The sequence below is a fragment of the Homo sapiens genome, chromosome 8, assembly GCF_000001405.40.
Source record: "Homo sapiens chromosome 8, GRCh38.p14 Primary Assembly".
In the NCBI taxonomy this organism is placed as follows: Eukaryota; Metazoa; Chordata; class Mammalia; order Primates; family Hominidae; genus Homo; species Homo sapiens.
In genome coordinates this window covers 28,498,109-28,525,625 of record NC_000008.11, presented here as the reverse complement: position 1 = coordinate 28,525,625, position 27,517 = coordinate 28,498,109, and the positions used below count along the sequence as shown (strand labels likewise).

Genomic DNA, 27,517 nt, shown 5'->3' with positions numbered 1-27,517 from the left:
GCCCCAGTACTTTTCTGATCTTATTTCCTTCCATTCTCCCTCACTCACTTGGCTCCAACCACTTTGGTCTCCTGTTGTTCTGTGACTTTAGGAAGCGTGGTTCCACTTCAGAGTCTCTGTACTTGCTGCTCTGTTTCCTTTGCCTGGCCCGCTCTGCCCCCAGATATCATCATTTGTTTTCTCACTTCATTCAAGTCCCTGGTCCAAAGCCTCCTTATCAATAAGGCCTTCTCCAAAGACTCTATAGAAAATAGAATCCCTCTGCTCTCCTATATTGTATCCCTATCACCTACCATATTTGTTCTTATTAGCATTCATTTTCATCTGACATTGTCTATTTATTTACCACCACCATTAGAATTTTCACTCCATAAGAACAGGATCTCTGTTTTGCTCACTGCTCATCTTCGACATCTAGAATAGTGCCTAGCACACCAAAGACATTCAATTGACATGTGTTGAACTAATGAATGTTGAGTGAATATATTCATATAACCCTAACCCAAGTAATCAGAAAGGTAACCAGGAGCAGTGTAAAAGACAGACTTGAGCGGGGCAAAAATGGGGGCAGGGATACCAGATGTGCCAAAATTAAAGTCAAATAAGGCAGTGAGAATGAGACAGATATGAAATTAGTTAGCTGAAGGCAACAGAATGCCTAACTTGAATGTGGGAGTTAAGATCAATGAAGTAGGAACAGAAGATACTTCCAGGGAATAAAACAGTGAGCCAAGAAGTAAAATCAATTTTACATATGCCAAAATTGAGGTCGTGGAGACAAACCGAGGCCAGATTTCCAATGGCTACTGGATATAGGTTAGGATTTTCAACAGCTGCTGGATATATGCAGGTTTTGAGCTTTGCAGAGAGAGGCTACAGACTTAGGTTTAGGAGTCATCGGTATATAAATAAGAGTTAAAATAGGTGAGATGAGATTATCCAGGGAGGGCTGTGGAGAACAGGAACCGAACTCTGGGAAGCACCATTATTCAAGGGGCAGAAAAAAGAGGAGGATCCGAGAAGGAAATTGAGAAGGAACAGTCTGAGAAATAACAGATCACAATAGTTCTCTTACATGATGGACTGAATCATTTTCAGGAAAGGACAGGCTGAGGTTGAAGGAAATAAAGGTGAGATACAAGTTTAAAGTTAAGTGATACAGATTTGGCACAAGTGCTGAGGAAAATGAACAGAAATTTTTCTGACCAAGACAAGTGGTTACAAATAGAAAATACAACTGCTGTAATTTCAGAATCATTAAATACATAGCATAATCAATTTATAAGAAATTAATCAGTCTATTTGGAGGTCTAAATAAGTACAGTAAGAGGGATGAGATGAAACTGCTATCAGATGATGTTATTTCAAGTGATAGACCACAACATTTAAGCTAAATAAAGAAACAAATGAGATCAGGAAGGGTCTATTTAGGATAAAAAGATAAAAATTCTGGGGGTGTCCATGAATTTTTAGAATAGGTGCTGTCTTAGTCCATTTTGTGCTGCTATGACAGAATACTTGAGACTAGGTAATTTATAAAAACCAGGGATTTATTTCTTACAGCTCTAGAGGCTGGGAAGTCCAAGTCAAGAGGGCCTGCATCTGGGAAGGAGGCGCCTCCTTGGTGCATCAACCCATGGCAAAAGGGAGAGAGAGGATGTGGGGCCAGGGAGGAAAAGGGGCCAAACTCATCCTTTTATCAGGAACCCAATCCCGCAATAACTAATGCCTCCCTGAGATAATGGCATTAATCTATTCATGAGGGCAGAGTCCTCACGATCTCTTAAAGGTCTCACCTCTCAACACTGCTGCACTGAGAATTAAGTTTCCAATACATGAACTTTGGGGGACCTGAATATTCATGAAACAATCCCCACTGCAGTGGTATTCAGAGGCAGAGCCTGGCCAAGCGCAGTGGCTTAGCTTGTAATCCCAGCACTTTAGGAGGCCTGCTTAAGGCCAGGAGTTTGTGACCTCCCTGGGCAACAAAGCAAGACCCCATCTCTACAAATTTTTTTTTTTTTTTTAATTAGCTGGACATGGTGGTACGCCCATGTAATCCCAGCTACTTGGGAGGCTGAGGCAGAAGGACTGACTGAGCCCAGGAGTTTGAGGCTATAGTGAGCTGTGACTGTGCCCCTGCACTCCAGCCTGGGCAACACAGCGAGATCCTATCTCCAAAAAGGAAAAATGAAGTGAGGTCTTTGGGACAATTAAAGGATTAATGTCCCTATAAAAGAGGCTGCAGAGTGAGCTTGCCCCTCTTGCTATCCTGCCACATGGGGAAACTGTGTTCCTACCCAGTGGAGGATGCAGCAACAAGGTGCCATGTTGGAAGCAGAAAGCAGCCCTCACTAGAAACACAACCTGCCTGTGCCTTGATCTTAGACTCTCCAGCGCCCAAACCATAACAAATAAATTTCTATTATTTATAATTTACCCAGTCTGTGGTATTTTGTTATAGCAGCACAAATGAACCAAGGCAACCAGTATAGTAGGCACAAAAGTATGAGAGCTATGAAAGAATAAAAAGGTTGCTATGAAAGTTCCCTTTGAGGCTGGGCACGGTGGCTCACGCCTGTAATCCCAGCACTTTGGGAGGCTGAGGCGGGCGGACCACTTAAAGTCAGGAGTTCGAGACCAGCCTGGCCAACGTGGTGAAACCCCGTCTCTACCAAAAATGCAAAAATTAGCTGGATGTGGTGGTGGGCACCTGTAAGCCCAGCTACTTGGGAGACTGAGGTAGGAGAATTGCTTGAACTCAGGAGGTGGAGGTTGCAGTGAGCCAAGTCACGCCACTGCACTCCAGCCTGGGTGACAGAGCGAGACTCCATCTCAAAAAAAAAAAAAAAAAAAAAGAAAGTTCCCTTTTTCAGAATTTAAGATTTCAAATTTAGGCAATCCTAGGGTATAATGAGGACATAAAATAGGTTTAATCCTATCAAAACAAATTAAAAAAATAAAGATTATGAGATTTCTATGCTTATATATAAGCTATTAAAATAAAAAGACACCTAAACAATAGGCGTTAAATACAAGAAGCATAAAACAGAGTTCCTGCCCAGGCAATTTATAATTGTTTTATACCAATTTACAGACTTCTAAAAGAGAGACTGGAAACACTTCCAGGTGTCTGGAGACAGAAGACATGAATGGTTAGATGGGGCTAAACAAAAGGGAAGGTAAAATAGGTGCGAAACAGACAAATATGAGAAAGTAGAACATCAATAAATTGACTACAAGAAGCAAATACAGTAGTCCTCATTTAAAATCGTAGATAGGTTCTTGTAAACTGTGACTTCAAGCAAGAAACCATACAGCAGGTCCTTAAATAACACTGTTTTTTTTTTCAATGTCATTTTGTTATAATGTTTGTAAGAAAACAAATTGGTATCCATGAGGCTAAGGCAGGAGAATCGCTTGAACCCGGGAGGTGAAGGTTGCAGTGAGCCAAGATCATGCCACTGCACTCCACCCTAGGGGACACAGTGAGATTCCATCTCAAAAAAAAAAAAAAAAAAGAGAAGAGAAAAGAAAACAAATTGGTTTCATTAAATGTCACTGTGCTTAAAGTCACATATTCTGAGAACCTATCAACAACGTTAAGTGAGGACTTACTGTACAGGATTTATTATTTCTTAAGTTTCTCCATCTGTCAAGTAAGAGTAACAACATCTGCTTTACTCGCCTCCAAGAGCTATTACCAGATAACAAACAAAATTATTTTTAAATATGAAGGAGAAAAGAATGTTACTTATAATAACAAAAATCTGGAAACAACCTAAATGACCATCAGTAGAAGGCTAAATAACTGTAGGATATTAACACAATTGACCACTACACGGCAATTAAAAGGAATGTACTAGACCTACAGGTTACAGGTACAAACATAGATAGATACATACAAAAAAGCTGTATTGTTTATGGATATGCATACATGTAGTAAGAGTATATAAGCAAACATGGGAATGATTTTAAAACAAATTCAACATAAAGATTATCTCACTCCTTGGGGGGAAAGAAGATAATAAGCTCAAGAGGGATAACAAGGGAAAACCTTCAATTCTACCTGTATTGTTTCATTTCTTAAAAAAAATCTGAAGCCAATATTACAAACTGTTAAGATTGGGCAAAGCTAGATAATAATAGATACATAAGTATTCACCTTATTCTTTATCCTTGAAATATTTCAGAATACAAATAGGTAAAACATTATCACATAATAAATATAGTATATTATTAATAATAATGCTCACTTAAATGAAACTTTAAGAATGTCTAATAAATCCTCAAAACTTTAAGACATGCTTATAGTCGATATACTGCATGTAATTTGAAAAGTATTTGACATTTTCTGGATTTGGTATGTTAATACTTGACAGAAAAAAAGAAATGACAGAACTATCCTATAAATCTATATTTAAATCATAAAGGTATTTAAGCCCCCGCAATGATGAGGTAATAAATGGTTTTCTTCTCCGTATAATTTTTCACAAATAGCACTATTTTCATAATCAGAAAAAAATGTTTTAAAGGGGGAAAAATCAACTGTCTTGATTATGTAATTCTTAAGTCTTTTAAAAACTTCTTCACAGAAATGTTTTCTTTTTCATTTAGTGCTTCCAAATTTCTAAGCAAATAAACAATTGTGAGGCCATAAAACTGTTCAAAATTAATGACTAATATGTACACTTCAAAAAAAGTTTTTTAAAACAGATGGAAAAGAAGACAAGTACTTTTAAACATATTGCAACATAAGAAATGATCCATGAAAATCTATGATTTTCGCACCTACTGCATTCCATATCTTCAGGCCAAGGAACACCAAACATCTCCATGAGCTTCGAACACTCACTGTAAGCCCGCTGACACAGCCTACGACAGGGAAGTGTGACACGTCCATATTCCATACAAATAGGAGCGTAGAGTGCACAAAGAAAAGGCCGGAAATCCCGAGAACAATCCAGATTCACCATAGGGTGGAATGGCTAGGGAAAAGTTAAAATTGAATAATTAGTTAAAGAGCTGTATACAAGTTAAAGCTTTCTATAATACTGCAACATTCTCTTTCTCATTACAAGAAAATTCTGAGGGTTATTAAAATTTTCTGAAGGGGAGTTTTTGTTTTTTTAAACAAAACTGTCCTAGCCCTACCCTTGAAGATTCTAATTTAGTTAAATGTGAGGTGTATCCCAGAATCTATATGTATAGTTTAGGTATTACAGGTGATATTGATGAAGAAGCAGGGCTGAGAACCACTGACAATATCCATTTTACAAAGAATAAATCCACAAAAGACATGCACCAAATGTTCAAAAGTGTGACTAGATTGGTGATGGGATTACAAGAAATTTTCGTTTTCTTCCTTTAAGTATTTCTTTCTTTCTTCCTTTTTTTTTTTTTTGTTGTTTTTTTTGAGATGGAGTCTCACTCTGTCGCCCAGGCTGGAGTGCAGTGGCATGATCTCAGCTCACTGCAACCTCTGCCTCCCAAGTTCAAGCAATTCTCCTGCCTCAGCCTCCTGAGTAGCTGCGATTATAGGCATGCACCACCATGCCCAGATAATATTTGTATTTTCAGTAGAGATGGGGTTTCCCCATGTTGGCCAGGCTGCTCTCAAACTCCCGACCTCAAGTGATCCGTCTGCCTCAGACTCCCAAAGTGCCGGGATTACAGGTGTGAGCCACCACACCTGGCCTCCTTTAAGTATTTCAATTTCTAAATCTTCTTCAATTAACAATTGTCAACAGGAGAGAGAGGACAACCAGTAATGGGAGAAAAACTGGGAGAAGGAGAGGAAGGTAAGTAGTAATATAGTAGTAATTTAGGCATTGAGGGCGGGGAAAGGTCTCTCACTTTGGGCTGAAATTTTCTTGGTTTTTTTTTTTTTTTTTTAAAGACAGGGTCTCGCTCTGTCACCCAGGCCAGAGTGCAGTGACAGGATCTCGGCTCACCACCACCTCTGCCTCCTAGGCTCAAACAATCCTCCCACCTCAGCCTCCTGAGTAGCTGGGACTACAGGCACGCACCACCACACAGGGTTAATTTTTGTATTTTTTGTAAAGACAGGGTCTCGCCATGTTGCCTAGGCTGGTCTCAAACTCTTGGGCTCAAGCGATCTGTCCATCTCAGCCTTCCAAAGTGCTGGGATTACAGGCATGAGCCACCATGCCTTTTTCAAATTTTAAACAGAGTTCTTTATACTGTGAAATCACATGATGTAAACAAACTAATGCTGTAAGCTAATATTAAGGGAAAAAAAATAGTAACCCCAAACATAAAACCACAATAAAATAATCATTTCAACCACAGGAATAGATAAAATATCCCAAGGATGTGCATCTGGGCTTTTGACTATGGAATATTTTTTGCATTTATTTATATAATAGTTTGAGTCATTGCTGATTTTGAAGTGGTTAGAGATATTCTTACCACCAGGCCTTTCAAATGTGGATGAATCAATTTGTTTCTGCACTGATGTATATTATTTTCCAGAGCCTCCTATACATAATACAATTAGAAAATCAAGAGTCACTTATAGAAACTGATGTCAAAGAACTATAAAATGAATATAATAACTGATATATAACAATAAACTATCTATGACTTTCACTTCTAAGAAAGAGTACTCTGTATTAGACCAATGTTTCCATCAAGAACAACTTAAAAACAGAAAAAATTTTAAGTTATCTATTTAAAACCACTGGAGAACTGCTAAAGAACTTTAGAGGGAATAAGAATTCAAAGAGAAGGAAAGCACAAACAGGTAGCCTGATACGTACAGCCACTTTTTAAAGGTGGTATTTGTTGAACTGGGCGTAAGACAAGAGGCTAGGAATCAAGCTTTGCCTAGGCTGTGCTGGAGAACCTGAGAAACCAGCAGAGCTGTAGGTGGTCTTGTGAGGCTATAGAGACAAAATGGGAAATGAAAGAAACAAGATCTAAATGAGAAGAAGTGGGAAGGACTGAGTCTAACACAAAGCCAGTTTTCCCTATGTGTATCTCAAAATTCTAAAGCTACACAGGGAAGGAAGCTAAGAAGCTAAGCAGAAAGAGAACAGAGTAGAGATTTTGGCAGTCTTATCAGTCTAAAGAGACATGAATTACTGTTCAACCTCTGCACAGCATCTCAACATACCAGACTTTCTGCTGAGAAGTCCTGAATGACTACACCCTAGTAGCAGAGACAAATCAGAGGCAGAGACCTACCAACATTGCAACGCAGCCTCTACTCAGCTCAGTTACTGACTGAATTAAAGTGATCTGCTGGCTGGACGCAATGGCTCACGGCTGTAATCTCAGCACTCTGAGAGGCCGAGGCAGGAGGATCACCTGAGCTCAGGAATTTGAGACCAGCCTGGGCAAAACAGCAAGACTATCTCTACTTAAAAAAAAAAAAAAAAGCCAGGCATGGTGGCATATGCCTGTAGTCCCAGCTACTTGGGAGGCAGAGGCAGGAGGATCACTTGAGCCCAGGAGTTCGAGGCTGCAGTAAGCTATGATCAAAGCTGCAGTGAGCTATGATCACATCACTACATTCAGCCTGGGAGACAGAGTGAGACCCTGTCTCTGAAATAAATAAATAAAAATAAAGTGCTAATTGCATTTATGTGCTAAGCAGAAAAGAGGATTAATCTTTTCTATAGCAACATAACATATCTGGGATCTCACTAATATTTTATAACGTCTAGCACTTAGTAAAAAATTACTGGGCATCCCAAGAGACAGGGTGATATAACTGAAAACCAAAAAATAAAAAATAAAAAAATGTGGTGATCCAGCTATTAGAGTTAACAGACAAGACTGTATATAACAATGACTAATATCTTCAATAAAAGATTAAAAATTCATCAGAAAATTAGAATTTAAGCATCAAATTAAAATTCTATAATTGAAATATATAATTACTGAAATTAAGAACTTATTAGAGCTATCAGAAGATAGGACTGGCAAAACAGAAAACAAGGCAATAGAAAATATTCAAACAGAAAGAAGGTCACAGACCAAAAAATACAGAAAAAAGGGTAAGAAACATGTAAAACACACAAAAAAGATCTAACACATGTAAATGCAATCTCAAAAGGACAGATCAGTAAGAACGGGGCAGAGGCAATATACACAAAGATGATGGCTAAGGATTTTCCAAAACTGATTAAAGATAACCACTTACAGATTTGAGAAGTTGTGCAAACCGCAAGAAGGATAAATACAAGAAAACCTCAGCTAGGCGTATCTTATTTAAACGGTTGAAAACCAAAGAAAAATATGTTAAGGGCAGTCAGTGGAAAAAAGACATATTACCTTCAAGGAGGCGACAGTAACTTTCAGAGCTGACTTCAGAAAACCACATAACAATGGAATGGCTTATTTAAAAAAGCTGAGTGAAAATAACTGCAAACTATAATCTCTAGCCAGTAAAAATATTATTTACAAATGAAGGCAAATATACTTTTAGATAGACAAAAAAAGAAAAATTAGCCATCAACAAACTGCACTAAAAGAAATGCTTGAAAGTTCTTTAGACAGAAGGGAAATGATCTAAGATGAAAATTAAAAATGAATTAAGAGCAACAAAAGGGATGACTGTGGGAAAATATAAATGAATACTCTGTGCCAACAAAAATAATATCATCTTAAAATACATGTAAAATTAACATGCATTATAGTAAAGTGGAAAAGGTGGAGCGTCAGAAGAACACTAATGGGGGAATGGTTGAAGTAATTATTTCTATTAGAATATTATAAGTCAAAAGTACACATCATAATTTTTAGGGTAAACAATAAAAGAATGCACAACTAACAAAGTAACAGAGAGGAAAACAAACAATAAAAAGAAGGCAAGATAAGAGAGAAAAAAAAGAATGCAAAATAGTTTGAACAAATTAAAATCAAATAGTAAGACTGTAGATATAAACCCAAGTAGATCAATGAAAATTTTAAAAACCACCAACAGAAAATTATAAAAAATTATTCCATTTATAAGAGCATCAAAAATAATAAATAGGAATAAATTTATCCAATGTCATGTAAGTCAGAAAACTATAAAATATTGTTGATGGAAACTGAAGACCTAAATAAACAGAAAGACATCCTGTGTTCATGGTTTGGAAGATAATGTTGTTCAGATGGCAATACTCCCAAAAGAGACCTACAGATTCGGTGTAATCCCTTCAAAAATCCCAACGGCCTTCTGTTGTTGCAGAAATGGAAAAGCTGGTCCTAAAATTCATATGGAATTACAAGAGACTCTGAATAGCCAAAACAATCTTGAAAAAGAACCAATTGGAGTACGCATATTTTCCAATTTCAAAACTTATCACAAAGCTATTATAGGAATCAAAAGTGTGTACTAGATAAGGACAGACATGTAGCTTAATGGGATAGAATTACGAGTCCAGAATTAAACCATCACATGTATGGCCAATTCATTTTCAACAAAGATGCCAAGACTGTTCAATGGGAAAAAAGTATCTTCAACAAAAGATACTGAACAAGAGAAAATCCATATGCAAAAGCATAACGTTAGACTCTTACCTTACCTTATATACAAAAATCAACTCAAAATTTATCAAAGGCCTAAGTATAAAAGCATAATCTATGAAACTCATAGAAGAAAACACAGGGGCAAATCTCCATGACCTTGGATTTAGCAGTGGTTTCTTAGATATGAAACCAAAAGCACAAGTTGAAAAGAAAAAAATTGGCAACCTGGACTTCAACAAAAATAAAAGCTTTTGTATATGGAAGGACACTATCAGGACAGTGAACGGACAACCAACAGAACGGAAGAAAATCTTTGATGTTCAAGCCTCTCTAAAATAATAATTGGTTTCAGCTGATGCCAGGGAAAGGCAGTCTCCCAACAGATAAGAAAAACCTGAAATTGGTGATCAGCAGCTTCCTGATAAGATCTCAGGAGCTGAGGGAGTGGGCTCAAACATGCTAAGAGGCAAAACAGCAGCGTTTTACTGGTGTATGACCTTCCTCTAGGAAGGCTAGACTGGTAAGGAAGGAATGCGTCAAGTGAGCATGCATACAACTCCAGTAAACACACTGTACATGCAGCCCCTTCCCAAGTGCTAGCAGGCTACTGCGCATGCGGACAGCCCACCCCAGGGGAAGACTCAGGAGAGAAGACACAGAAGTATGCCAACATATAAAACCATAAGTCAAATCAAACCGTGCACTTGATCTCTCAAGTCACCCGCTTGGCCTTCTTCCAAGTGTACTTTACTTCCTTTCGTTCCTGCCCTAAAGCTTTTTACTGAACTTTCACTCCTGCTCTAAAACTTGTCTCAGTCTCCCGAGACTCTGCCTTACGTCCCTCAGTTGAATTCTTCTGAGGAGACAAGAACTGAGGTTGCTGCAGACCCGTATGGATTCACTGCCACTGGTAACATACTTTGGTGCTGTGTGACTTGGATACATTCCAATGCTAACACAAGCACTGTTCAAAATGCCTTACACATATTATCTCATTTAACCTTCACAACAATCCTATAAGGTAAGTACCATTATTATGAACTCATTTTACAATACATGTGAAGAAAACGAGATACAGAAAACGAAGTAACTTATCCAACATCACACAACTACAAAGATAGACCCAAGATTAAGGCAAATCTTGGCATTCTTATCCAGAGCCCTTGCATTTAACAAATTTGTTGTACTTAAATCTCTCTACGCTTCAGTTTCCTCTTCTGTAAAATGGTCTTAATAACCCATAAGTAAAAAGATAAAGTTAGCATACAGAACACAATTAATAAATGATAGCTTGAAAGGGATTGGGGAATAGGTGCAAGTTAATAGAGCTGTAGCAGGCCTACTTGGTGGGCATAAGGAGGAACCCTGCTAAATTCTCTGTTCTCAACTGCCAAGTGAGACAGTTTTTAAAACAGGAATGAAGTTTTTAAAAAGCAAAACAAAACACAGATGAATCTCAAAATCATTATACTGAGTGAAAGAAACCAGACCTAAAGAAGTAGATACGGCATGATTCTATTTATACAAAACTCTAGAAAATGGAAACTAATCCATAATGAAAGAAAGCAGATCAGTGTTGCTTGGAGCAGGCAGTAGAGAGCGGGGTGACTACAAAGCAGCACAAGAAAGCTTTTCAGGTGATGGAAATGCTCTGTATCTTGACTGTGGTGATGGTTTCACAGGATCTGTCAAAACTCATCAAACTGAATGCTTTATATGAGGGCAGTTTACTGTACTCACATTATATCTCAATAAAGCTGTTACATAAAAACAAATACAAATATTAATATTTTTCAAATAAGCAAATTGCCCTGATTTTTTTTTTATCCTTAACAATTTTTGACCTCAGCAAAATCAAAATTAAATGAGGTAGCCTGAACACTAAAAATCTGAGAACAAATGTATAACATAAGAAATACTATGAAAGCTCTATGAAGTCTAGAAAAGGAACTTTAGCTAACTGAATTATAAAGATTCTTATTGAGTACTTCCCTAAACCATAATACTTTTGTTCACTAAATCAAGACCAGGGTATAGGAAGTTTACAACTGGAAAGTAACTTTCTAAAATTAAATTTCTGGTTTCTACAACAAAGGTGCACTACAGGGAACCTTCCATTCTTTGTTCAAATTCAAATCAACCAAGCCTTTGTGCTACCATTCTCTTTCTTCTTTCAAATTTCCATTCCTGTTACCATAGGAACCTGCTAGCTGACAAGCCTTCAAGCATAGCAACAGCCCAAGCTTAGCAAGGATGTGCAGAGGGGACCCAGTCAAAGGCCAAAATTTGACTCACGAGAATCAGAATTCCAACCTTTGTCACTCTACAAAGGGTCTGGTAACCATAGAAACTGTACCCTATGGGGTTTGGGAGTATTATGACTAAATTCATTAAACATAAAACCAAATGTGGAATGGTCTTGAAAATTTAAAAATGGCTATTTCAGATCCCTTAGAATGAGAAATTATTCAAAAACAACTTTTCAGAATAACTGTGACTAAAAATGACACCTTTTAAAAATCCCCTTTCTGTAACAATAAAATGCCTAATGAGAAAAGGTCCAAACTTTAAGAATTATTTTGTATTAAATAAAAAAACAAAAAACTTTAGGTTTGTAAAAACGCCTTTAATCCCATAGGTTTATTTTCCTGTTCAAACCTTAATTTTTAAAAATGTTCTGTGATAGCATATTAAATACCTTCCAATACTTTTTCAGTGAGTTTTTTACAGAAATTTCTCATTATCACGGAAGAATATGTGTTTTCACAAGTCAAAGCAGAGTTCCCAGAGAGGTCCATAAATCTGACTTTCCTATAGGAAGTAAACTTTTAATATTTCCAATATCATGGACAGTTCTGAATTAAGTCTCAAAAGATAAAGCTTTACAAACCAAATTCCAATGTATTTAATAATTTAAGACAAGTAAATCACTTTATAGTGATCTGTCACACAAGAAAATAAATTAAAAATTTCAGAAGCTGCTATTTTTTTGTCCTAAAGTCTGAAATGACTAAATGCAATTATCTACTACTTGTATTTAGACGTTTAATTCCTGGCTGGTTTCTCCTCACACCAGGCTTCTTAGGCCACTTTGCTAGATGTTTGTTTAGGGAAAACCACCTTATTAATATTAATCTCAACAAAAAATAATAAAGTAAATGTTTGATAATGCATGTATTCTAAAGATTAACACCATGAATTCTATAAATGTAGTAAAAGAAGTTTCATTTTCTAAAAAGCCTATCCATAAAATGTTAATAATTATTGTTATATGGGTGTACATTATACTATTCTCTTAAAATAAAAACCACAGTAAAAAAATTTGTCTTTCAAAGTTCATTTAAATACCATCTGCAATTTGAAGCCTTCCATGACTCCTTCAACATATTCTCTCTTTGAATCACCTTAGCACTTTGCTTTTTTGCGGTATTTACCAAGTTCTTCCCTATATTGTACTTATCCAATCAAAATATATTTAATAAATACTAAATCTTAGACCCTGCACCAGGAGCTGAGCAAAAAAGGACAGTTGAAATTTTTTAAAAATAAAATTTCTTTACTAGTTTTACTATTTTAAAAGCATAATGTGTTCCTTACAGAAAAAACAGAAAATGCACATGTACCCTAGAACTTAAAGTATAATTAAAAAAAAAAATGAAGAACAGAAAACACAAACTACTAATTCAGGAACAACCAATGTTGGTCCTGGTGAAAATTCCACCCGATCACTCACTCTGAATGAACATGCATATATGTTTTTCAACCAAACCAGGATGATACCATACTAATGTTTTGCTATCTACCTTACTTTATTTTTTCAACCTAACAATGGATCAAGTACAACAGAATTTTGATAAGCAAAGATGGAGAATATGCATGCAGAAGAAACATGAAAGGCCTAGAAATGAGAAAGCTGTGTTGCTTTCTTTGCTTAATTACACCACTTATAAGTACAAACACATAATGTTGAATTCAAGTCACTTTGACACTCTGTCCCCTACCACCCAAAAAATAGAAAAAGAAAAAAAGAAAAGTAAAATACTAGTATTCAAAAGTATGTGGTAACCTTGGTACTGGAATTACCATCACCATCCCCACCAACCACAGAACTATTTATAACCCTAGGAGATTAAGAGCTTAGGTATAGCACTAAAACAAAAATCAATTACTACTGCCACCTCTAAGGGATTTAGGGTTTATAAAGTTCATGAATTAATTCAAACATTTATTTAGCAGTTACTATGTGTGAGGTTCTGTGTCGGGTACTGGGCATACAAAGATGAATAAAGACAAGCTCTACTTTGAAGGGGTTAAATTCTAGCAGAAGGAATAAAAACGTGAACAATTCCAACATAATAATATACACACAAAAATAGAGGTACATATAAAACACACTGGTGAGTATGGAGAAGAGAGTCACTAACTTCTAGGCATCCCAGATTTCTTAAGGAAATAACATCCACACCACGCCTTGAAAATTAAGATATTACCAAAGGGGATACTACAAGAGCCTTCCAGGCAGAGATGGCATTTACAGAGTTGATAGACTTAAGGAATGCTAAGTAAGTAGAAGCCAATTTGTGAAAGTCTATTATGCTTTGGATTTGATCCTCTAGGCAAGGATTGGCACTGTTATTTTATTTTTTATTTTTGTGAGATGGAGTCTCACTCCATTACCCAGACTGGATGGAGTACAGAGGCGCAATCACGGCTCACTGCAACCTCCGCCTCCCGGTTCAAGCTATTATCCTGCCTCAGCCTCCCAAGTAGCTGGGACTACAGGCACACGCCACCACGCCCAGCTAATTTTTGTATTTTTAGTAGAGACGGGGTTTCACCATGTTGGCCAGGCTGGTCTTGATCTCTTGACCTCGTGATCCGCCTGCCTCGGCCTCCCAAAGTGCTGGGATTACAGGTGTAGACCCACTGTGCCCGGCCAACTTTTGTATTTTTAGTAGAGATGGGGTTTTCCCATGTTGGTCAGGCTGGTCTCAAACTCCTGACCTCAAGTGATCCGCCCACCTCAGACTCCCAAAGTGTTGGGATTACAGGCATGAGCCACCGCACCTTGCCGGCAATGTTATTTTATTTAATTAATTTATTTTTGAGACGGAGTCTCACTCCGTTGCCCAGGCTGGAGTGCAGTGGCATGATCTCGGCTCACTGCAACCTCTGCCTCCCGGGTTCAAGCAATTCTCCTGTCTTAGCCTCCCGAGTAGCTGGGATTACATGTGCCCACCACCACGCCCGGCTAATTTTTGTATTTTTAGTAGAGATGAGGTTTCACCATATTGGTCAGGCTGGTCTCCAACTCCTGACCTCTGGTGATCCGCCCGCCTCGGCCTCCCAAAGTGCTCAGATTATAGGCCTGAGCCACCGTGCCCGGCCCACTGTTATTTTAAAAAACAATTTTCACATATCTCGTTTGATCCTTATAACCAATTCTATTCTAATGATGGCACATGGATATTATATTGTTACTGTCCACAGTTGATAAGTAGCAAAACTTGGGCTTGAACTGCTTTGTCTCTGAATTTCATACTCTTGCTGGTATTAAGAACCCTCATGTATCAATAATTATGAAGGTGTTTCTGTCTCTGTAAAGTAGGTGATGAAAATCATTGAGACACCATTTCCCACCTATCATACTGGTTTAAAACAAACAAACATGACAACATATTATTTTGGTAAAGCTGTGAAGAAACAGATACTCTCACACATTACTAGTGGGAATGCAAAATAGTACAACCCCTATAGAGAGGTCTGGCAATATCAAGGAAAGTAACACATACATTTATACTTCTAGGAACCTATCCCAAAAATACACTAGTCAAAATGTGAAAACACACTTGCAACATTGTAACAGTAAAAGACCAGAAACACAGTTGTTTCCTGTGTCCATCAACAGACATTGAATAATACTGTATATCCAATACAATGGAGTAAAATTTAGCTATAAAAAAATAAGGATCATGTCATCATACTCCTGAAGACAGCTATTATTAAAAACAAAAAACAAAAAAACAAAAACAAAAAAAACAGAAAATACCTAGTGTTAGCCAAGATGTGGAGAAATTGGAATCTTGTGTATTACTGGTGGAAATGTAAAATGGTACCACCATATGGAAAACACTTTGACAGTTCTTCAAAAAATTAAACATGGAATTAACATATGACCCAGCAATTCCACTTCTGACTACAAACCCCAAATAATTTAAAGCAGGAACTCAGATTGTACATTTATATTCATAGCAACACTATTCATAATACTCCAATGGTAGAAACAACCCAAGTGTCCACTGATGGATAAATGGATAAGCCAAATGTGTTATATACCTACAATGGAATACTATTCAGCCTTAAAAAAATAAGAAAATTCCAACACATGATACATTGATGAACCTTGAGGACGTTATGCTAAATAAAATAAGCCAGTCGCAAAAGGGCAAATACTGTGTGATTCCTCTTATACGAAATACATAGAGTGGTCAACTTCAGAGGCAAAGAAAGTAAAACGGTAGTTGCCAGGGACTAGGGAGAAGAAAAAATGAGGACTGATTTGTTATTTAATGAGTGTAGATTTTCAATTCTGGAAGAAGAGAAAACTCTGGAGATGGAATTGTAATTATGTTACTTAAATGTATTATGCATATCTTACCACAATTTTTAAAAATTTTAAAATGAGGAATATCTATAAATGCTACTATGAAATATCTGAAATATATTAAGTGGAAAAAAAAACCAGTGTGGGGAAAACAAACGTTATAACTGTATCAAAAAAGGTGAAAGAATATAGATATATAAATATTTTATATAAGTGTTATATTTAAGGTTTTTAAATGGAAGGATAAAAACTTTTAAAAAATGACTGCCTTTAGGTGGAAGGAAAAAATAAGATAGAGGTGACAGAGGGATAGAAACTAGAGTTCTCTGAATGTACCTTGAAGTATAATTATAAAATAAATTTAAATTAAAAAATTAAAGTCATTCCTCAAAATCAAAATAAAACATATGAACCTAACTGTGTATTGTGTTTAACCACATGAAGAAAAAATATTTCAGTGACTTAAAACACAATAATTTGATTGTACATCCTTGCTGATATACATCCCTAAAGGACAAAAAGAAGTATAAAGAAATCTTTGTCCCTAAAGGACAAAAAGAAGTATAAAGAAATCTTAAACTGCTTGCTGTAATCATTGTTAGTAAAAATATTGCTAATATTATTCTGAAACTATACAATGTATGTGTATAATAAATTTGAGGATAAGAGAGTAGAGAAACAAAAATGAATTTAAAGATGCTAAATAAAATCCATGGCCAGGCATGGTGGTTCACATCTGTAATTCCAGCACTTTGGTAGGCCAAGGCAGGTGGATCGCTTGAGAACAAAAGTTTGAGACTCAACTTGGCAACATGGTGAAACCCTGTCTCTACAAACAAACAAACAAACAAACAAACAAAAAACACAAAAATTAGCCAGGCATGGTGGCATACACCTGTAGTCCCAGCTACTCAGGAGGCTGAGGTAGGAGGATTAACTGAGCCCGGGAGATTAGGACTGCAGTGAGCTGTGATCGTGCCACTACACTACAGCCTGGGTGACAAAGCCAGGCCCTGTCTCAAAAACAAACAACACCCTGCAATATTACTTGAATCGCAAGTATCAGTATAAACTCATGATGGACTTTCCCTTAAAAAAAAAAAAAAAAAAAAAGTATTCCCTAGCTGTGTTCATGAAAAGGCCTAAAAATGACTTAGTATCACTAGGCTTAGCACCCAGATAGTGATCTCTTAAGCATCATTTCCAAATAAAAGGAACCAGAGCTTCCTAAAGAAATTGATGATTCAGAGTTTGACGCGGAATTTTATGAAGCGAGCTTGAATCACACCAGAAAGAAAAGAAACTGTTAAACACCACTAGGGTGGTGTCAAAAACACTAAAGAGGGCCAGGCGCAGTGGCTCATGCCTGTAATCCCAGTGCTTTGGGAAGCCAAGGCAGGAGGATAGCTTCAGGCCAAGAGTTCAAGACCAGCCTGGGCAACATAGTGAGATCTTGCCTCTACAAAAAAAAAGTTCTTTAAAATTAGCCAGGCATGATGGCATGTACCTGTAGAACCTACTTTGGAGGCTGAGGTAGGGGGATTGTTTGAGCTTAGGAGCTTCAGGCTACAGTGAGCTATGATTGCTCCACTGCACTCCAGCCTGGGTGACAGAGCAAGACCTTGTGTCAAAAACAAAACACTCAGGAGCTACCATGTAGAGGCTCCCACTACCAAAGATGGAATATTTTGAGCCTCAATAATCACTGTGATAGATTTAAAACATCAAATATGTTAAAAAAAAAAAAAATCCTTGAGTTCACAATGAAACTTAAACCAAAAAAAAAACAAAAACCCTCACTGGTCACCTTTGATGGATGCTTGGGAATCAACTAATTATTCTAAAAACTAATAACGGGGGAACATGCAAGCACTTATCCTATCTTTCTTATATAAACTGTATATGAAAGTAATCCAATAGTCAATGAGAAGTTTCCAAATATTCCAGCTAAGAAATGAAGAAAGGGTGACAGAATTAGAGTATCACCATTTTGCAAACCCCTAACAAAACTATTGGTCTAGGAAATCATCAATGGCTGCTAACATTTATAAAAAGAGTAACAACTTAATATTATGTGCTCCTGGCAGGAGTATGTTAGCTACCTATGAAGTATTCCTTCCAAAACAACAATAAAAAACCAAACTCGTGTCTAATCAAGCCTCTACAGTGCCTGTTTACAAAAATAAATGAGACAGAGACACGGTAAACAACACCACAGGGATGCAATCAGCAAAATAAAGACTATGGGAAACTCTATAAGATAAATATATCACAAGAAAAAAGGGGAACAGGAAAGGAAAACCTATAAATTAAAACAGACTTAAGAGACATATCAATTGGATGCAATGTATGAACCCTGATTAGAAAAAGCCAGTATGAAAAAAAATTGTGAAATATGCAAGAGTAATTTGAACATTAATTTGATACTTGACACTGATAAAGGAATAAAGGTATTGTGTTCATATATTTTGAAAGATACCTTACTTTTCGGAGGTATATAACAAAATATTTATGGATGAAATTTTGATATACGAAATTTGTTTCAAGGTGACCCAGAAGGGCATGCAGTGATAATGAAACAAGACTAGCTATGAGTTGGTAATGTTTAAGGCTGGATGCTGGATACATGGCACTTCATTATATTATTCTATTTGTATATAATGGAAATTTCCATAATAAAGTTTTTTAGTAAAAAGCTCAAATTTGAGTTTGGATAACTGAGAGACTGGTTGAAACATACTCTGTTCTTAATGAACCATAAAAGATACAGGATGTTCAGGCTTTTAGGCTCTGTGTTCCTACTAGGATTATTTCACTGCCAGCTTTCCATGCTCCCATTATAAGAAAACCTTAAATCATAAAAAAATCTTTAATGAGAATGACAAAGGAAAACAGGAAACGGAGGCAAACACAAACCATTCCAGGAGTTTTTCCTCTGATTATCCTATAGAGAGGCCTACTTTCCTCTATATATGGGGTGGGGAGGGGCAAGCAATCAACCTCCCAAAGAGATTAAAGATTGCTCGTTCCACACACTAACTGAAATGAAAAAACAGGGTGACAGGCAACAAAGAAGAATGCTCTGTATTCACACAGCACTTTAACTTTTCAAAATTCTTTAACATAAATGCCACTTATCTCACTTGATCTTAACAATAACCCTATAAAATGGCAGGAAAAAAATTTACTTCCTATTGGAAATCAACACAAAGAGGTCTCAAACCTAGTTAGTGACAGAATACAAGTCTCCTATCCCTATTCTAGTGCTTCTTCCACTAATCTGTTCCCGTCCTAGCCAATTTGGTTCAATTATTCAGTATGAGGAAAAGCCTGCCCAGATCTCTTTTATTACCACTAGAGTCGTAAATACCTGATAATAGGTGGCTCAGTAAAGATTGCTACTGACATTTGTTGATTATTGCTCCATGCTGAACAGTTCCCAAAAATTTACTTAGCAATTTGGACAGCTCAAAATGGTTTGGAAGGCTCAGAAGTGAGCATTTTTTTCCTATCAAAAGCTACTCATACACAGGGGAAAAGAGAACGTCAAGTTAACAACTTAGAAAAACGTAGCATGTGTGTTTGCATATTGATGTGCACGTTTTGGAAGGCAGAGATAAAGAAATAAACATATTAGCAAGAACCTTCTTTTCTAACTTAATGGATTGACACTTATCTATTTAAACATGTCCCAATCTCAATAAAAGTACAGAGTATGTACCCTGTAGACACAATGTAAGAAGATCCAACTTGTTGATTGTGAATAAAACTTAAAATAACCCAGATTCTGCTCTTTCTCCTATTTGTGGCTAATCTAGCTTACTGCCCACATACCATTGTGTTCCAGGCACTCCTTTTAACTCACAAAACAGTAAAGGAATGGACTCCAGCCAGGCGCGGTGGCTCATGCCTATAATCCAGCACTTTGGGAGGCCCAAGTGGGTGGATCGCTTCAGCCCAGGAGTTCGAGATCAGCCTGGGCAACATGGCAAAACCTTGTCTCTAAAAAAATACAAAAAAATTAGCCAGGGGTGGCGGCACACACCTGTAGTCCCAGCTACTTGGGAGGCTGAGGCAGAGGATCACCTGAGCCTGGGAGGTTGAGGCTGTGGTGAGCCATGATTGCACAACAGCACTCCAGTGTGGGCCACAGAGTGAGACCATGTCTCAAAAAAAAATAAAAAAAGAAAAAAGGAATGGACTCTAGGCAGGCTTAAAGCCTGGGGCCTGCTGAAAGATGCTACACCTAGGAAACTGTCTTTGAATTCATTCAGTCTCACAGCAAACACTCAAGAGTGTGCTGGGTTTGCTCCAATTACTTGTGCCTGCTAAGCTGGTTCCTGGATCAGTAGAGGGATGGAGGTGGAGAGTCATCAGCAGCACTGAGCAGGCAGTGTTGTCTGCTGAGTTTCCACGTCATTTGCTATTAAAGAAACGTTACACTCTCAAACTGTGTTTGATTATTCTTTCTGTCAGTGGCATCACTGTCCTGATACGATAAACATGCAATATGCAACTATTCCCAACATTACTTCAAGTCATTAGAGCCTTCTCTTAGAAACTATTACTCACTTAGGTGCTCTCCCCAGAATGTCAGTGTCTGAAATTCAAACAGAGGCAACCCCATTGTCACTGAAATATCTAGACTACTTGTGCATATTTGAGAAGTCAGAGAGAGCCTATCATGCTATCACTATGAATGAATGCCCCATGAACCTACAATGAGGGATGCAAATTCACTGGAGCAAATACATGGTGTTTCTAGTACTTCCCTTTAGATGATTTAGAAATGGAATTTGGAGTAGAATTAATATTTGTGAATCACCTATTGCGTATGATGCATTGTGCTAGCTACTTCATAAATCTCTTATTTAATCCTAACAGCCCTTCAAGGTGTATCATTATACTGCCTTTTCACAAATGAAGAAAACAAAGATCAGGAGTGTTAAGTAACCTGTCCAAAGTCTTAAACCTACTACATGGCAGAGCCAAAAGTTGAACCCAAGTCAGGACAAACATCTTTATGACCTGCTTCTTATTAACCTATTTGCTTCCCAAAGGAGTTATGATTTAAAATGATACCAGAAATAAAAATGTTTCTAGTTCAATTTTCTGTGAGAAATTGATAGCTTTAATACATAGCAAAGACTACCATGCCTGGAACCAACTTACTGTATTAAACCAATACCCATTTTTATATATCCTAATCTGATAGCCTATACCAATTCTCTCTCTTCAACCACTTAGACCTCGTGTACTCAGAGGAAAAGCAAAAAATGTTTTGTTCAACCTCTACAGCATTTTCAAATATTTGGAATATATAAGATGCCCTCCTTATTTCAAAATCTATGAATAATAATCTTACAAATTTTCTTAGACTTAGGTTAGTCTCCCTTAAAATGATGAACTTTTCGGTTTTATTATAAAATGAAGAATTCCAAAACATGTAGGCTTCCATTTGCTGAAAGCGCTATGGAAATAGGCTGAAGAGTAATGTATCAAACATTCCCTCTAAATTATGTTATGTAACCACGTTAATATGAGAATATGAATTAACGGTAAAAGCTATCACTTATAGAGTACTTACTATGCGCCAAGTACTATACATGGATTTTCACTTTGTACCTTACTGAAGTCTCTAAGTTACAAGCAAAGAAACTATGGTGAGAAAGTTCATATAACGTGGCCAAAGTATACAGCTAGAAAGTGGTAGAGGTAGAATTCAAACCCAGGTTTGTCTACCTCAAAGCCTATGGTCATTACCACCACTGCTTACTGCCTGCTAGTTCTTATCTGGTATATATATCCCTGTCCTCAATTCTAAAACCATTATAGACAGATATACCCTTATTTAAACCTATTATTAACTATATCAATTAATGTGTCCATAGTTTCTAAATTTGAAATAGTTTCTAAACTAAAATAATTAAGAAATGTCTGAAGAATTACCACTGAAAAATTCAAATAAGGCAGCAAACTTTCATAAAATTCTGAGAGATCAAGAACAGATAATTCGCATTGACAAAAACTTTTTCACTGCTTGGGAGTTATTCTTAAATTTTAAACTTCTGAATGGCTGCTATCTCCCATGTTCTGATGTTTCAAATTTCTTTATAAAAGTATAATGTCTAAAATATAAGAGTAACATTCACCAAATGTGAATTCTTCAATCTATTAGAGTCTGAAGCAAAACATATACATTTTTAAATTTATAAGATATAATTTAAAATAGCATATTATTTTCCTGTTGTTTATCAAACACATTCATTAGATTGGCTGATGGGACAACACAAGAGTCATTTACTAAGATACGTCAAAGAATAGATCAAGTCTTACCTCCATTGCCAAAGCTGCTGTCTGTTGGTCATAATGATTCAGAAGATTAGGCATGAAGGTAGTATTATAAGGCAAATCTTGGCACATCCTCAAGGTAATAGGTTCACAAGAAAACAAACTGTGCCCACCTATATGCCCCATGAACACAGTCAAGGGCCAAAGAGAGAAGACAATCCAAGTCATAGCCATCCTTCCTGGGTCTGAAGGAGATTCAGATGATCAGGCCTATTCAATATGTATTTTAGATATTTATACACCTGCAGGTCTCAGCTCGAAGGTACTTCTTCTGTATCTTACTGTTAAATTCTTCAAACAGTTAAATACTCTTCGCACCGTCAGAGGTTTGTTAGCTTGGTCTCACAAAAGGCGTTTGTTTTTGGTTTCACAATATGGGAAAATGACATCATCTTGTCTCTTCTTTTCATTTTATTACATGGGGCACATTTGGCCAACATATCAAGTTGATCAACCACATTCCCAAACCACAGATTCCATCTTAGGAGAAGAGCTATTTCTTCCTTCAACTGAAATATCTGAAAAGTATTATTTTAAAAAATGGGAGAAATTAGTCATTTCCTCTCAAAGTATTATGGACTTGACATTAAAAATCTTTGATGAGAGATATTATACTGACCTAATAGTTAACAATATGTGGGTACTTTATAAAGATATCATTTTTCTACTTTATCATTTATGCTATAGCTACACTAAAATGATCCTTAAACAGCATTTAAATGCAAATTTAATTTCATCCCTCAGTTGCTTATATAACACATGGTTCAACTTCTCATGTATAATGGCAGTTTTTCATCCGTCACAATATATAATTGATTCATTTTGAAAAATTATTATGCTATTGTCCTAAATTTTATTTAAATAATAAATATTACGCTTATAACCTAAATTATTGAACTAAAATTGCATGTGTTTTAATCTTTAATAGTATATTTTTGTATTAACTGATGTAGCAGAAGGCATCTGTGAAAGTGGTCTGAAAAGTAAGTCAAAAGATACAGATTCAAGCCTCTTGCTAGCTGTGTGAATATAAACATACCACTTAACTTCTATGTACCTAGAATTTTTCTTCTTGAAAATGATTCCAATACCACCTAGCTCACAGGGATGATATGAGTGAATCATAAGATAATGTATGCAAAAGTACTTTATAAATGGTAAAGCAGTATGAAGCGTTAGACATTTTAATCATTGAATTAGTTTATACAAATGCTACCTCTATCAACCAATACTGAACTGACATATAGAAGGTTCTAAAATATTAGGAAATCTTCACAATATTATATTATTTTTTAGACAGTACAAAAATTTAATAACACAGATGTAGCACTAAGAAATATTTCATCAACGAACGGTCATTACACACAGCCATGCTGCACAGAGAATAGAAATCATCCCTAAAAAGTCACAGGAAAAATAAGAATAATTCCCAGTTATTGTTTCCACAGAGCTTTAGAATTTCTGACTTGTATGTACTTTTCCAGGGGCAAAAATATGTGTGATTCTCAATTTCAGCTGAGAGGGTGTGGGTGGAGTGGAAGGCAGGTCTGGTATGAAAAAAGTATATTCTAAGCTATCACATTTTGATTTGGTTTAGTAACGATGTTAACTTTGCTTTTATTTCAATTTGTTTCATATGCATTGGATAGTCTTATGTTTGTTGTGGAGAGCCTAGGTTAGGAAAAGAGAAATTCAGGTTCAGAAATTCTCAAAGACCCAGACTAATAGGACAACTTAAATACTAGCACCTATGATAACTTAGATTGTGGGACCTGGAACTGCTTTGGCTTAAGTGGGGAAAGAAACTGTCCTCTGTGCATTAACTATCAATGACTGGGAACTCCATGTCCCAAGCTTCAGTTACTAGGCAGATAACTATTTGGAGAAAGTAAAACAGTGACTGAATCTTCCCAATTTCTCCCTCTAGTAGATGGTCTTGACTAACAGAAGGGAAAAGAAAAGTCTATGGTCCCTAGAATTAGGAAACTAAGGTAAAAGCAAACCCTGCTCAAAAAGCCCTAAAGCGCCTCATGTTCTACATCAGAAATTTCTGAAACAGATTCTTGGCCTGCCATATTTCTTTTTCTCCCCACAAATGTTGAGATCTGCCTATAGAAAACAGATACTGGGCAGGGCGCAGTGGCTCACGCTTGTAATCCCAGCACTTTGGGAGGCCGAGGCAGGCGGATCACGAGGTCAGGAGTTCAAGACCAGCCTGGCCAACATAGTGAAACCCTGTCTCTACTAAAAATACAAAAAATTAGCCAGGCGTGGTGGCAGGCGCCTGTAGTCCCAGCTACTTGGGAGGCTGAGGCAGAAGAATCGCTTGAACCTGGGAGGCAGAGGTTGCAGTCAGCTGAGATCATGCCATTGCACTCCAGGCCTGGGCAACAAGAGCGAAACTCCATCAGAAAAAAAAAAGAAAACTGGTATTAACCACAGTTAAAAACATATTTATCTTAATTACCATGCAGCGCAGTAACAATTATGCATATCACTAAATATGTCAAGTAACTGTTGAAAGTTTTATTTGATTGTAGTATTAAAACATCCATGTAAGTTCAGTCTTTGTAGTTTATTACTTATGCAGCATATTCATCTGCTTGCAACTAAATAAAATTAAAGGGAACATTACTCCCTGTTGAATACGCATATAGTAACAACAAGAATTTCAAAAATTTCATTTAAACTAATCTATTTTTCAAGCAGGTATGGGTTTCAAATCAATGGTTCAAAGAAGACTACCACATAAAACCTGAAGAAGAAACTGAGCAATATCTCACTGAGCCTTTAAAACTAGCTGAAATGTCCCCCTATACTTCTGCCTACTCCATCTATTTTACCTGGTTTCCTTTTGATTATTCCTTTTGCCTTACTTGCAAGTAAAGCATCCTACCTTCTTATAAAAGTGCTTCCTTATGTACTATGACATTCAAATTACCATGTACCAAGATGCTTTTGTAAAATCTACTGTTAAGCTGTGAAAGGACAAGAATCTTGATACAGCAAGACTGCAGTTTATGATTATTAAAAGAAGGGAAAAAACAGCAGTGGAATTCAGTGAGACATGAAGAAAACAGGTAAAGTATAGGTGTTAAAGAATTTTCATTTCCCCCAAAACAGCAGTTCTCTAATCGTAAAGTGTAGCAGATTCATGGATTCCCCTGGAAATCTGAATCCTGGAGAATGATATGCATTCTAATGATTACCTCAGGTTACAAGTGCTCCATAAGTCAGGTCTTGAGAAATGCTATCCTAGAACAGAATAATTAAAAAGAATAAAGGTATTGTTTATGTAATTATATACAGTAAATGAATTTTAAAAATAAAAGCAGATAGGGGATAACATTTTAATAGAAAAATAAGCAAAGGACATAAATTTACAAAAGAAATACAAACAGCCAAGAAACATATGAAAAGATATTCAACTTCACTAATAATAAAAAATGCAAATGTGAGATAAGATTTTTTGCCAACCAGATAGGAAAAAACAATAATGATAGAACACAGTATAGGGTGGGAGTACAGGGTAAAGAACACCTTCAATATTTCAACATTTTCAAATGTTATTAGTAAACTAGTTGGTACTTAAAAAAAAAAGTGGCTACTTATATCAAAAGCCCTTAAAATGTACACAATTTCATCCAGCAAATCTTATTATTCTAAGTAAACACGTAAGTACACATGATGCACAACCAAAATATTAGTGTAACACTGTTTATAACAAAAAAAACCCTAAAAGCTGGTAACAACTGAAAAGTCTACCAATAAGAAATTGGTTAAATAAATTATGGTATAACCACATGATGGAATATTATATAGTTACTAAAAATGATGAGCATAAACCTGTATTTGTGGATACAGTAAGATAGTAACAATAAATAAAAAATAAAATTTAAAGGCAGTTTACAAAACAGTATATGTATATATCTCTCATTTTGTCAGAAAATATATATGTACATGTAACACAGTAAAACTATTTCGATTGTTTAAAAATAAAATATTAAATGCTTTATGGAATTTTATGAAAGAACCTATAGTACATTATTTTGTGTATGAAGTAATTAACTCTGCTAAATCTGTAAATATGTGCTGACTGGCTGACAAGAAAAAATACTAGTGAAATGACTGGTTTATTGACTACTAATTAAGCAACAAGCCAAGGAATACACTACTGCTCTACTGTACCTAGTAAGAAAAGCAAATCAGTGATGATCAATTTAGTAAGAGTCAAAATCTGATTTTCAATACTAAAAAAATCAGATAACCAATCAACTGAATCAAATGGTATGCACAATTTAAAAACTTTTGATAAACATTCCTGGCTGGGCACAGTGGCTCACGCCTGTAATCCAAGCATTTTGGGAGACGAAGGCATGCAGATCATTTGAGGCCAGGAGTTTGAGACCAGCCTGGCCAACACGGCAAAAACCCATCTCTACTAAAAATACAAAAATTAGCTGGCATGCGCCTGTAGGCCCAGCTATTCAGGAGGGGCTTGAGAATTGCTTCAACATGAGAGGTGGAGGTTGCGGTGAGTGGAGACTGTACTACTGCATCCAGCCTGGGTGACAGAGTGAGACTGTCTCAAAAAAATTAAATAAAATAAAAAAATAAAAACTTTTGATAAACATTCCAAATAATATGTCTTCAATAACATAATGAATTATCTGCTTCTAATCACAATTATGTGAGTATGCCATTTTTCCTAAGGTAAGGTCATCCATGGAAAAGCTGTAAGTTGAAGTTCCAGACTTGCAGGACATAGCAAAGATTCTGGACCCAAAGAGATCCTATCAAAATGTAGCAAGTCATTAAATAAAAGTTAACAGTCATTTGGGGCGTTCTTACTGATTTTTTTTTTATTATAAGAAACTGTAGTATATCAACTGGAAAAAAAAAGGGGGGGGACCTATTAGATTAACATAATCGGAGTGAGCAGCTTCAGGGGCCAGGGCCCTGCAAAAAGTGAATGCTATGCAACAGTTGCTCACGCCCTTTGTATGGGAAAAGAGACACATTCACTTCTCCATAGAGCAATACAGAATATCTGGAAAGCTGATTTCGGACTAAGTTACT

At 36.5% G+C, this 27,517-nt stretch overlaps 1 protein-coding gene and 1 non-coding gene across 32 annotated transcripts in view, besides 1 other annotated feature; one reads left to right on the top strand and one right to left on the bottom strand.

Annotated features, from left to right (window-relative positions):
• The window catches only part of FZD3 (frizzled class receptor 3), an 80,047-nt gene that overhangs the window by 48,633 nt on the left and 3,897 nt on the right, over positions 1-27,517 (bottom strand). For 8 of the 31 annotated variants that reach the window (NR_182067.1, NR_182069.1, NR_182070.1 and 5 more), the window contains exons 2-4: positions 25,648-25,693; positions 22,424-22,956; positions 4,792-4,988 (exon numbers count right to left, since the gene is read on the bottom strand). The exons of 2 other annotated variants lie outside the window; for them this stretch is intronic. Coding sequence is in view for 19 of the 29 variants with exons in the window: in NM_017412.4 (NP_059108.1) it covers positions 4,792-4,988; positions 22,424-22,612 (386 nt within the window). In the remaining 10 variants the exon portion in view is untranslated. Of the gene's footprint in view, positions 1-4,791; positions 4,989-6,432; positions 6,513-19,921; positions 20,090-22,423; positions 22,957-25,647; positions 25,694-27,517 lie in introns of those variants that run through there. 21 more of the 31 variants (NR_182066.1, NR_182071.1, NR_182068.1 and 18 more) reach the window with 14 other exon arrangements.
• Positions 11,283-12,276: an enhancer, noted in NCBI's record as "VISTA enhancer hs1329". NCBI's record gives its function as "enhancer in: neural tube[4/7] | hindbrain (rhombencephalon)[4/7] | midbrain (mesencephalon)[4/7] | forebrain[4/7]" and the evidence as "EXISTENCE:transgenic organism evidence [ECO:0001131][PMID:17130149]".
• MIR4288 (microRNA 4288) lies at positions 20,444-20,510 on the top strand. The gene has a single exon (NR_036250.1). It is a non-coding gene; the product is annotated as a microRNA 4288 (primary transcript).